This window comes from Homo sapiens, chromosome 10 (genome assembly GCF_000001405.40).
Source record: "Homo sapiens chromosome 10, GRCh38.p14 Primary Assembly".
NCBI lineage: Eukaryota > Metazoa > Chordata > Mammalia > Primates > Hominidae > Homo > Homo sapiens.
Genome location: NC_000010.11, coordinates 118,348,965 through 118,362,860, shown reverse-complemented (window position 1 = coordinate 118,362,860; position 13,896 = coordinate 118,348,965). Strand labels below are relative to the sequence as shown.

Sequence of the window (13,896 nt, the reverse complement as noted above, 5' to 3'; positions counted from 1 at the left end):
ATGCTGTAGCCAATGGGTGGACAAGTCAGAAATTCTGTTTAGGGGAACGAGCATGCTTAGTGAATTTTAGTATGCATCAGGCACAATGCAAGGCATGTGAAAACCCTTATTTCACCCACAATATCCCTATGGAGGTAGGTGTGGTAGTTTAGGGGTAAAGGAGGAGAACCGAGAGGATGTCAATATCCAGAGGATTGCAAGCAAGGTCCTCTCTGGACAATGCCTCATTTGGGAACCTGGCAGATCCAGAAACTAGCTATCATTAGTATGTCCAGTGGTGACAAACTCAATTACTAAATGAATAGGCCATCTGTTCTGACACATTGGTCAGAGTATCAATGTATTTATTTGTCTGGGAGTATTCATACCTAATGTGGAGTTGGTTCAACAAGCATTTCTTGAACACCTAATATGTGCTAAGGCCATGGAAACAAAGATATAGAAGAGGACATAGTCTTTGCACTGAAGGAACTTTCAGAGTGTCAATGCTTGCTGCTGAGGAATATGATGAGTGCTGGGGGGGATGGTGAGTCAGGGACAATCTGAAAGTGAGTCACACCCCAGTACAGACCTACTTGCTGGGGCACTCTCATCTAGAGCCTACCTATGGGATAGACGGAAAGACACTGAACTGGCTGCCCAGGATTATCTATAGCCTTTGCTCTGCTCCATCTTCTTATGAGACATTGAACACTAATGATAATGGCTCATATATCTTGATGCCCAGGGCACTGTTTGCTAAGTACCTTACATACATGACCTGGCAAACCGAATATGAATTCCTGAGTGTGATAGTGTAGGCCTCCTATCATTGAGCCCTAATATTACATGCTAGCTTTTTCTGCTCTATATGCATCCTAACCTGCAGCCATACTGCATTGTTTTCCATTAATTTCATGTTTCAGCTTTAGCTGATATGATACCTTCCACCTGGATTGCCTTCCCCCACTCAGTCTGTCATTAAGCTGGCCATCTTTCCATGCCTAGCTCACACGCTCACTCTTCCTTGAAAATTTTCTTTGACAGGGGTTTCTCTTCTGAACTCTTATAAAACTTTGCATCTCACTCAATGGCACTTAAATCCCTTTTTAAAAAAATCAACACTATTGGTTCTGATTATAAAGGTAAAACACTGCTCAATGGAAATGACTCAAACAATAATGGTGAAATTTTGGTAAAAACATCACACTCCTCTCATTTCAAGTTCCTCAAAGACAAGACTGTGTTTAATTCATCTTTATATCCCCTGGAATCTGCCCACTTTAGTGCCAGACTGTCTACACCAGTCTTCATTCATAGTAAGAATTACATAAGTATTTATTTATTTGAATGAATGAATTATACTTAGGACTTTTATTGCTAAACCTAGAGCTGATTTTAAAAATTTATGTGAGGTTTATGATTAATGATGCTATTAACATGTCTTTACTTCCAATATTATAATATCTCTTCTCTAAAAAATTACTGATACAATTATTTTGTTGCCAAATTAATGCAACACCTGTACTTTCTTGGAGTGTCAGGCCAAATCCATCTCGATCATTTGTTATTACTGGAAAGTCTATTGCCTCTATCTTCAGACCACTTTAGAGATGAATTACTTAATTCATGCTGAGAACATTTCAGTACTTCGGGTTGTTCACCTTTCAAAGCTCCTCAGGTATCTGCAAGAATTTGTAGTTAAAATATTCCAGGGTTGTAGGTCTTAACTTCATTGCAAATTGACTACACATTTTTATCATTAAATCATAAGCATCAGGTGACTTTCACATTTCTGCTGAAGGCATGTTTCTTATTAGGCTAAAGCTGTTCATTCTGTACAATTAACGGTTCATAGCACACTAAGGAACATTTATTAATTTTCATTTTACTTGTTTTTTGAAGGTTATGGGGGTTAAGGGTTCTAAGTTAGACTTATTGAAATTTTAAAAGGTGTAAATAGGTAAATATTATGGTCCTTGAAAAAGTGAGATATTTCCCCTTTAAGCATGTGATTAATATTACTAATAAAAATGTCATCAGCCTTCCCTGCCAGGGGGATGCAGTTAGAAAGACATTTTGTATGTACGTGTGTGGTTTGCTTTCCATATCTAATATGACATTTTGAGAGACAACTTAATGTAACAAAATTACTTTTAAAAATAGATTCTCGATGCTTTGTTGTTCTTATTCAATAATTCCAAAGAAAAATTGTATCTTCCTGTACATTTACTTAAGATTTTGCCTGACTACATTTGGTAGCTTATATCAGTGTTTGAGACATAAGAATTTTGTCTCTCTCATCAGATCATGCAACATGAATACAATTCTTGTTGAAGATTGAATTTCTGGAAAGCAGCCCTCCTTCCTATGCTTTTGTGGATAGATCATTTATCTTATACTTAAATTTGGTTTCCTTCATAAGCTAGTTTCTTAAATTATTTCTTATGCTACTATTCATAGTATATGGCATTGGTTATATATACTACACTAATTTTGGCATAGATCAAGCAGTACTTTTTAAATAGCCATATTGAGATATAACTGGCATACCATTATAGTTCACACATTTAATGAGCACGATTCAGTCAGTGGTTTTTAGTCTATTCACAGGGTTGTGTAATCATCACAACCATCTAATTTTAAAACATTTTTGTCACCCCCAAAAGAACTCCCATGCCCATTAGCAGTCACTTCTCATCAGCCCTAAGCAACCACTAATCTACATATTTTTTTTGAGACAGAGTCTTGCTCTGTTGCCCAGCATGGAGTGCAGTGGCATGATCTCAGCTCACTGCAACCTCTGCCTCCTGGGTTCAAGCTATCCTCCTGCCTCAGCCTCCCTAGTAGCTGGGACTACAGGTGCACACCACCACACCCAGCTAATTCTACTTTCTATCTTCATAGATTAAGCAACATTTTAGCAACACATCTTAATTGTCTCAAAGTTTTGGTGATTTCATGACCTTATTAAAACTAATATATTCAACATAATATTCAGGTATATAATGACATTTTTCATCTTTGTACAATTTTTATCTTTAAAATGAAGCATCTGGTTTGTCACAATTTCAAATCCATAGTTAAATGGCAGGAATGTTAGGTTTGCCTGTGCTGCCTTTCTGCTTGGTTGGTACTTTAAGAGCTTTACATTTGCACCTACAAAAATGCAGAAATGTTAAGTTAGAAATATGGTGAATATTTGAATGGTTAGCATGAAACATACTCACAACAGAATAGCTGAGGCAACTGTATCGTCCTTCCTTTTTATTCTTCAGTTTCTTCTCCCTGCCTCCCAATACATAAACACTCACACACACACAGACACATACATACTCACACACTCACATTCACACACACACACACACACACACACACACACACACAGTAGTCAAGGTCACATTTAGTGAGCAGAATTTATCCAGTGACAACAAGAAGTAGCAATACATGTCTAGTATTGATATATTATTATGCAGACTGTAAAAATAACGTGTGTTGTATATTTTGATTACATACACATATGGCTTATTTTTAAATCGTGGTGGGAGTTACAGAACATTCTCTAGAGGTTAGAAGTGCTAAAGCAGAAAGCAAAACTATATAAAATGGTATTCTAAGTAGATGTTTGATTCTACTGATTTTACTCATGGCATTATCAGAAAACCTGGAGATCATTCATCTAGTTAATCATTTGTTCCACACGTATTTATTGATTAATGACAACATAAAGGGCATAGTGCAAAACCCAATAACAATAAACAGCTAGAATTCAGCTTCCTTGGGAACTGTTGTCCAACTTCAGCACACAAAAGAGTGGCCTTTCTTCTCACAAGGAAAGAGCTCAATGAATTATGAATCTTTTCCTTTTTCTTGAAAAACCACAGCCTATATTTTGGAGGAAAATTCAACATAATTGGTATATACCCATCTTTTTAGGTGAATTAGGCCTTAACTGACAGATAACCCACTTTGTTCTAAAATTCAACAAACTCTAGGAAAATCTTATTCCACACAATCTTTTGAATATGTCATTTGCCATTTATATTTGATGGCCTTAAGAAAAAAAACTTATAAAAAGGTATTAATGCAAGTAGATAATAAAGCTGCATTCTATAAATCTATAGCAGCTTACAGTAATCATTAAAGCATGCAAAAGCCTTTCATCTATTCAAAAATATGCAGTGCACAGAATGTCTGCTAAGGTGCATGACAAGTCAGAGTTAAATATATATTAATAAATGAATTAGCTTCATAAATAATAGCCATAATGACATTTTAGGAGACAATAAGTCTGAGGATTGTCAGAAAACGGTTGATGTATGAGCTTCACGTCTCAGTGATTCTTCAAAATGAATAGGCTTTGCGAGATAGTTCAGACCCGCGACCAGCCTATTTCCTTGAATAATTTACTTGTTGTCAATTTGTACAGCCACATTACACATGCAAATTGTGCTGCCTGTGCAAACACCACTTGGAGATGATAAAAACAAATTTACGAAGGCTATAGAAGAAGGATTTATTTCACTTTCTCACCCAGGTCAAGCAATACATGTATCTGACGATTGTGTGTACCCAATTTTGTTGTAATTATATCAGCAAATTATTCCTTATAATCTTATTATTTTTAGCAGTCTCCTTGTGCTTGGGATAATTAGCTTTCTTCACTCAGTGTAAAAACAATTCAACTTGCCAGCCAGGTAGGGCATAGCTCCATTATCTGTTTTGGGTTTAAATTTATTCCCTATATTCTTGGACACTTTGTGTAAATTAAAAATTTCATAGTCCCTAATACTGTACACGCTGTTCATTCAGTGATGAATTAAGGCCCCTAAACCTCTCCGTTTGCTATTAGATATCTCACCCACTTTATATGTTAATCTGTGCTAATGAATTCCACAACCCCTAGCCACAGTGAGATGACTAAAATTATTACCACTTACAGAGATATGCTTTTTCATTTAAAGTTCAATTCAAATTGCTCGCATAAACAGTCTGCCACACAAAGATACCTCCTATAAAGGAGAGTTACTTACCTATAAGTAGAGTTCTCTGAAGGTAGTATTATCTTTGGATGCACATTCCTGGGTCACGTGCCCTCAGGTCTGTGGCACTGGGGGAGAGAATTCATCGCTGATGGGCAGGTCTTTCTTTCCTTGGGGCCCTTCATTAGCTCTGTGGCCTGTATTCCTGAGGGTTATTTGTGCCACACCCCTTTACCCAACCAATCCTGTCCTTAGCACAACAGACCCCAAGGAAATAGTGGGGTAACAGAACTGCCTAATGAGAATTGTAGGACTGGTTACCATCAACGATGGCTGATGAGCCAGAAGCAACCTCCATCTTTATAGAAGTTACCTGTAAAATAAAGCGCCCAGTAACTAAAAAAAAAAAAAAAATCTATTTTTTTTACATATAATATATAATTTAAAATCTTTTTTTTTTTTTTTTTACTTTTTGCAGAAGTAGCAATTTCATTATGGAAATAATACATTCTCATCGTGAAATTCTCATAGTAGAAAATATAGATAAACAAAAAGAATAAAAATCACACATTCCCACCAGTGGTCCCACCACCCAGTGACAGGCACAACTCGTTTCTGGTATCTATTTTTACAGACTAGTTTTCTACTTAGATACTCTCTTAAGATGACAACAAAATCACTAGTCTTATCAGGTCCCTCTTCAACCCACTCCAACCAGAGGTTCTAGGACAGGGTGCTTACCTCATTTGTCTGTTCGTCTTCCACTTAACTCATTTTAAAAGTGCTTTTGCTTTCTTTCTCTAAAGTTGAGTGATTCCCAGAGTTTTGGGTGCTGAGCCCTTTGCTCCTTCCACCTCTCTTTCCTCAACAGAACATCCAAGCAAGTTCTCATCCTGCTTTAGCCCTAATTTACTCTCTGTAATTACCACCTTCTGAAATAACCTTCCAGAAATGATGCAGTAAGACACAGAGTGTTAAGGCACAGTCTGAGGTCAGCCCTGGGGCCAGACCTCATTGTACCTTGTATACCTGGATTGTCTCGGAGGTACAGGTGGTGCTGCCCTTTTATTGCCGCCTCTGCATTTGATCCTCACAACTGCTGTGCAAGCTGGCAGAGCAGGTGCTGTTATTCCTGTTTTGCAGATGAACATCTAAACTCTGGGAGGTTAAGTAACTTGCCTGGGAGAAAAGAATTAGTACCCAGGTCTTTGCAATTCCTCAACACAGGACTCTCCATTTTAATTATTGCTCTTAATTGTTGCTTATGATTTTGGAACTTAGGGCAGTTGGTATGTTTTCAGTATTTCTCCTTAGAGATGGATTATTTCCAAAGGTAAATCTTTGGAAATCTTTTTGGTTAGGGATTCAGAGCTTCATACATTATTTTATTTTGAGGTTCCTTAATTATTTATTACCTTGAGAAGTCTATTTACATAAAGCAAATATTTTGCTTGAGGAGAGTTTATAATAGTCTACCTTTTACAGGATTCCCTGCTTAAAAGTCAAAATAACTTCTTGGGAATAAGAGTTTTCCAGTCTATGGTTAAGAAAATACTCACAGATTAACTTAATTCATTATCACACCTGGATGTAGTATGATCAGGGCCCAAGCTGAGTCATTCCCACTCTGCGCTTGTCTTTTTGCCACAGGGTCACTTACAGCATTACACACTCATGCAGTTAAGATGGCAAATCCCATGTGATATATAGTATGGGAATAATATCAACTTAGAGGAACATTTAGTACATTGTTTGAAAATGTGAAGCCATCACATGGATGATAGATTGAGCAGCCTACAATTAACCTGAGTTAATATTTGGCAGAGCCAGATGGATAGCTCTTAACATCTAATCTCACGCAAAGTGCTTTATGTTCTTCATAAATAAAGAATAATAAAAACAAAATACTTGAATTCAGCATCTTCTCTGGAACACAGTGTGTTCACCTAATTGTCTTATCTCCATTTGTGAATGGCAAATGTGAGTTTGGTTGCAGCAAGACCAAGCCCAGAAAAACGTGAAGTGGGCGAGGGTGGCTTTCTGCATCTCAACCATCCTCAGTAACTCCTTTCTTCCTCCTCCCAGTGTGCCCCAGCCCTTTCTTCTTGGGTGCCTTTGGCCTGCTACTTCTCCTTTCATTAAAACCACCTCCCCTGAACCCAGAAGGTCATTCAGTTTCACTGCAGTGCAGTTGGATAATGAAGTTTATTGTGTTCTCGCCCCCAGGATTATTTTTGTTTCGATAGGGGAAAACCTTGGAGAAGATATTTAGGGACCAGGAAGACGTTCCTGGTGACCATCAAATGATGTTATTTGGCTCAAAGTTCTCAATTGTTATGCACATCTTGGTTGTAGAACTGTTGAATGCCATATGGAAGATCTGGGTACCTTTTCTGGTTTACTCATATACAAGATGGGGATAATAAGAAACCTCCCTCCTATGACTCAAGATGGGGATAATAAGAAACCTCCCTCCTATGACTGTTGTGAGAATTCAATTAGCCAGTGTATGCAAAAGCACTTGGAATAGTTTGGCAGTTAGGAAGGACTCAGTTCGTTTTTAGATATTCTTCCATCCTCGCCCTTCTCTTCTTTCCTAGGGGAGGCAATGAGGTATAGGAGAAAGCATATGGGCTTGGGAGTTAGGTGATCCTAGACTCAGATCTAAATTCTGCCATTCGCTAGCTATGCAATCATGAGCACATAACCTTTTCTGAAGTTTAATTTCCTTTAGTTTAATTTAGGGATAATCAGAGTATCACACATGGTTGTCATGAAAATTAAGTGAGATAATGTGTATGTTATGCTTAGCATGGTGTTTTGTACCTAGCAGACACACATTAGTGAATTATTATTCATGCTAATAAATGCAAAAGATAAATATATTGAAGTCCAACAGCACGATTTTTAAGCTATTGCTTCTTGTAGTCACTTAACTATGAATGTCAGCTTGTTTGCATTTAGTAAGAGTTTCCAGGCTTATGAACCGTAGGTATCATTTCCTTTCTGTGACTATTTCCCCACTATCCAAAACAAACAAATTAAAAAATCCAATAGTATATTTGGATAAAACATTTTAATGAAGTACTAAGGAGGTGTTAATGAGTGGATTGTTGCTATAAAACAGACGTAATATATGGGAAAACATGAAGTATATGTTAATAAGACCTCAGTGAACAAGAAAAGTAAAAAAAAATATATATATATAAAAATTCTGTTAAGCAAAATTATGGAGAAAGGTCTTTGAGTTTTAATTGAAAAAATTAGCAAACATTGAAAATTGTTTCTTTTTGCAGCATCTTTCAAGTCCTATTACTAGTTAAAATGGTTTATGATTATTTCAAAATATATTTTAAATAATTCTCTTTCTATCAGAAAAAATGAATCCTGTGTATATACCATATAAAATAATAGTATATAATCTACTTTACAATAGTTTCAGAGTTGTTTCATTAAATCGGTTCTAGCTGTTTCCATTAAACTTCCTGAGTTTCATTCTTTCCTTTCTCCATAGAATCAATGGCCAAATCCTTTATATTTTTTCCTGCTTTTTCATCTTTTTCCAGTCTATGCTTGGAACAGAAAACACAGTCTTTTGTTTTTGGATTCAGTCCTATTGCCAATACTTTTTACTTTATTATTGCTATAGCCAACTAGCAGGCTTCCCTGACTACAGTCTATGGGCCTCTATTAACCCGCCTTTTCAGAGTCTCCACAATTTGAACTCTACTCAACTTTCCCATTTTTCTGATGATGAAACTGAGGTTTGGGGAAGTTTAGATTGTTGAACATAGCCATACATATTTTTGTGATTTCAAAGTCCTAGGTCTTATCATTAAACCATGCTACTCTTTCCTAAACATGGCCTAAAATTTTCCAAATTTTTCTAAGATGAATTTTCCTATCATATATACCTATTAAGCTCTTTACTTCTTCCTAAGGCCAGTATCTATCCTACCTTTACCAAAAAACTCTTTGGAATCCTGAACTGATTGCATTGCTTTCTATTTACTGTGATGTTGATAGTTTTATTCTAACATTTATTTTAAGTTCAGGGGTACATGTGCAGGTTTGTTACATAGATAAACTTGTGCCATGGGGGTTTGTTGTACACATTATTTCATCACCCAGGCATTAAGCCTAGTATCCATTAGTTATTTTTCCTGAACCTCTCCCTCCTCCCACCCTCCACCCTCCAATAGACCCCAGTGTGTGTTCCTCCCTCTATGTGTCCATGTCTTCTCACATAATAGTTTGTTGTATTCTCAATATAGCACTTAACATTTTTTTGCTTTATATTAAAGTTATTTACTTCTGTCTGTATCCCCAACTTGATTTTAGATTCTTGGATGGCAGGGAGCATGTCTTATCTGTCTTTTTAAACAAATTTTGTTTTCAGAAAAGGGTTCTTAGAATTTCTGTCTTTTTTAATTATCCTCCCCTTTCACACAAAAATAGTGTTTTCCAAAGTGCTTTGACACCAGTAGATTTTAAGTCAATGTTAAATACATGGAATTATAATTTTATTTTAAAAGAGAAGCGAGGTTCTGTTTTTTAAGAAATCTGAGTGTGTTTTTTTCTGTTCTAATGGCAATTTTTAATGAAAAATAGCAATTATTAATTAAGTCTTCTTACACAGAATACTTTTTCTCAACAAGGATATGTTCTGTATAGCTAAGAAAAACCTATGCCAAGTTTACTCATTATTCATCATTTAAATATTTACCAAGTTCCCAGCATCTTCCACTATAGATAGATAATACAATTGTCAAAGTGGTACTGAACATAAAAAGTAACAGTCCTTGATCTTAAATAATATAAACTAAAATGAATAAACCCTAACAACGACAACAACAACGAGGATGAAAAGACTCCATGAAAAACACAAGTGATGTTTAAGGAGATATGTACCTGTTTGAATTACAAACACACTTCCCAAATAAGCTTCTGTCTTACCAACCTTTCCATACATAATAACTGTAGACTCTAGAAAGAAGCAAAATAACTGTTTGAAGGCATTGGAGAAGAAACGAAAGCAGGCAAATACTGGAGAGGTTAGATACTCAGAAGAAGCAGAAGGCAAGGGATTAGTTTAACTTTTTTTTTTTTTTTCATGCTTTTATCCTGAGACCAAGTCATAGCCAAAGCTGGGTAGGAAGGTTAGAAACTGAATAGAAATCTTACTTGGGGAAAGAGTTTGGGTCAATAACAGCTGCTAGAAACTGAACTGGAATCTTGAAAAGAAGAGCGGCAGAAAGGGTGAGCCTAAGTTCTACATATAAGCTATGTTTCTATGTACTAATCTCTGGATGACCGTTGAATTATGCAAGTGAAGGGCAGACTCTAAGAAGCCCAGCTAAGGCTAAAATAACTGCCACCTATTGAGCTGCCACCTATTGCCAGGGAGACACATCTTGCACTTTGGGCTTAACCTAGTTAGCTGTCTCTGCTTAAAAATATATATATATATATATATAATATAAAATATATACATTTTTATATACATTATACATTTATTTATATATAATGTATATTCCTTTGAAGAAGCATAATAGAATCCAGAGTTTCTACAACATATCCATCACAATTTCTAGCATAAAGTCCAGAATTACTTGTCATATAAAGATACAAATAAACATGAAGCAGCTTTAAAGAAAAAGAAAATCAACAGAGGCTAATTCTGAGATGACACCAAGGTTGTAATCAAAAGATAAGAATTTAAAAAATAATTATGCTTCAGGACTGAAATGAAAATATAATAATGAAAAGATAGAAAACCTTAGTTGGGAGACATAAACTATAAAAAGGAAATTAATAGAAATTCTAAAACAGAAAAATAAAATATGTAAAATAAAAAATTCACTGGATGGCTTAGATGCAGAATGGATATGATAAAAGAAAGAATCAGAGAACTTGAAGATAGACCAATAAAAATAATATACTCTGAAGAACAGAGGGAAAACTTTTTTAACACATAGTTTTTTTCTAAATAGAGATGGGGTCTCACTATGTTGCCCAGGCTGGTTGCAGACTCCTGGGCTCAAGTGACCCTCCTGCGTTGGCCTCTCAAAGCGCTGAGATTACAGGTATGAGCCACCATGCCTGGCCTATTTTAAAAAATGATCAGAGCCTCAGAGTCCTGTAAACAAATACTAAAATATCTAATATTGGAGAAAAGTAATGAGAGAATGGACTAGAAGAAATAATGGCTGAAAATTCCTCAATTTTAGCTAAAGATATAAATTTTGTAGTTTAAGAAGTTCAGTGAATTTCAAGCAAAATATTTAAAACATAAACAGCATATTTAGAAAAACTACAGTCAAACTGTTGAAAACTAAAGATAAAAAGACAGTCTTCCAAGCAGCCAGAGAAAAATGACACATTCCATATCCGGGAATAATAATTTGAAGGACCTCAAAGGTTGCATCAGAAATAACAGAGGCTAAAAGACAATGGAACAACAGTTTTAAAATAATAAATGAAAAACCTATCTACCCAGAATTCTATATCCAGAAAAATAGCCTTCAAGAATAAAGATGAGTTCCACTTCTACCAAAGACATAGAAAGCTACAAACAGCATTAATACCTTCCTAAAAATAAGAAAGTGTCATATAAATGACAAAAGTATAACTTTCCTTGAACCCAGAACACTAAGTTCACAGGGCAAACAAATAGCTATAAATCTAAGAAATGACAAGCTCCTTCAGGGAGCAATGATATGGGAGCACTGACTCACCTGGGAAAAGCACAGGAAGAAGGAACAAAGAAGAAATGGAATAAATAGAAAATATCTAGAAAGGTGGTAGATTTAAATGACTACACCAATAATTACATCAAATATAAATGCTCCAGCTACAACAATTTAAAGAGATTGACAGGACAAAAAAGCAAGACCCAAGTATGTATTATCCATAAGAAATACAGTTTTTTTTTTTTTGAAAGAGAGTCTTGCTCTGTTGCCCAGATGTGAGTGCAGAGGCATGGATCTTGGCTCACTGCAGCCTCAACCTCCTGGGGTCAAGTGATAGTCCCACCTCAGCCTCCCAAGTAGCTGGGTCTGGCTAATTTTTGCACTTTTTTTTTTTTTTTTTTAAAGAAACAGGGTCTCACTGTGTTGCCCAGGCTGGTCTCGAACTGCTGAGCTCAAGCATTACACCTGCTTCAGCTTCCCAAAGTGTTGGGATTACAGGCATGAGCCACCATGCCTGGCCAAGAAGTACACTTTAAATGTATATCATATATACATTAAGAATAAAATAATGGATACAGATATGCCATGCAAATACAATTTTTTTAAAACCTAGAGTGGCTATCTAGATATAAAACAAAATAGACTTCAGAATAAGGAATATTACCAAGAATAAAGATGACTATTACATAGTAACAAAAAGGTCAATTCACAAAGATGTCATAAAACCCCTATATATATGGGCACCTAAAAACATAGCTTCAAATACCAGAAGCAAACCTGATATAAATGAGAGAAGAAATAGACATACCCATAATAACAGTTTGATAATTCAACATTCCTGTCTCAGTAATCAATTGAACAAGTTGGCAGAAGATCAATAAGGAAATACTAAACCTGAACAGCACCAGCAACTTGCACTAACTCAGGTTTGCAGAACAATCCATGCAACAACAAAAAATGCATAATAAAAATTTAAAAATTATTTGTATATAATAGCAATGAAAAGTTGGAAATTGAAATTAAAAACAGTTCCAACACAGTTTATAACAATTTATAGCATAAAAGCCAAGAAATAGTTTTAAATATAAAATATGTGCATGATTATATGCTTGAAACCCCAAAATATTCATGAGAGAAATTAAAGAAGACCTAAATAAATCTAGAGGTAAACTTCATGGATTAGAAGACTCAATAATGTTAAGATATCAGTTCTCTCCAAATTGATCTATAGGTTTAATGCAGCCCCAATCAAAATATTAGCAGTATATTTTTGTAGAAACTGACAAGCTAATTCTAAAATTTATATGAATAAGCAAACAAGCCAGTATAGTAAAAACAATTTTTAAAAAAGAATGTGGTTGGAAGACTGACATTACTTGATTTCAAAACACATCAGAAAGCCACTGTAAGACAGTGTATATTGGAGAAAGAATATATGCATAGACCAAAGGAACAGAATTGAGTCTAGAATATATATAGTCAATTTGTTTTTTATCACAGGTGCAAAGGCAATTCACTGGAAGAAGGAGTTTCAATAAATCATGCTGGAACAACTGGACATCCAGGTACCAAAAAATAAACCTTGACACATACTTTGTATTGTATATATAGTTGATGCAAAATGGATCATAAACCTGTAATCTAAAATTACAAAAATGTGTAGAATAAAACAAAAATAATAAAACCGAAAATAATCTTTGTGACCATTTAGCCAGTCGTGGTTAATGGAGGCTCAGGAGGCTGAGGCGGGAGGATGGTTTGAGCCCACAAGTTTGAGGTTGCAGTGGGCTGTGGTTGCCTTGAGCTGTGGTTATGTCACTGCACTCCAGCCTGGGTGACAAAGTAAGATCCTGTCTCTAAAAAAAAAAAAAAAAAAGTTATAATAAAAAGCAAAAAAAGTGTTTGTGACCTTGGACAAGGCAAGGATTTCTTAGAATTTCCTAGACATAACACATGAAGCATAAACTATGAAAGAAAATATTGATGTTAAACTTTATCAAAATGGAAAACTTTTGCTCTTTGAAACACACTGTTAAGTCAAAAGACAATACAGAGACATCATAAGTTATTAGATAAATTAAAATTGATACACAGTGAGATACCACTACACATTTATTTGAACCCACTTATTTTTTATGTCCATACCGAAGAATGGGGAGCAACAGGAATTTTCATACATTACTGATGAAAATGTGTAATGGTACAGCCACTTTTGAAAACACTTTGGTAGTTTCTTATGTAGT

The 13,896-nt window shown here is 35.4% G+C and overlaps 1 long non-coding RNA gene across 1 annotated transcript; it reads right to left on the bottom strand.

Annotated features, from left to right (window-relative positions):
* Positions 1 to 3,657: 3,657 nt before the first annotated feature.
* LINC00867 (long intergenic non-protein coding RNA 867) lies at positions 3,658 to 5,753 on the bottom strand. Its single transcript, NR_108045.1, has 3 exons — positions 5,703 to 5,753; positions 5,013 to 5,334; positions 3,658 to 3,864 (listed from the first exon to the last, which is right to left on the bottom strand). It is a non-coding gene; the product is annotated as a long intergenic non-protein coding RNA 867 (long non-coding RNA).
* Positions 5,754 to 13,896: the final 8,143 nt, after the last annotated feature.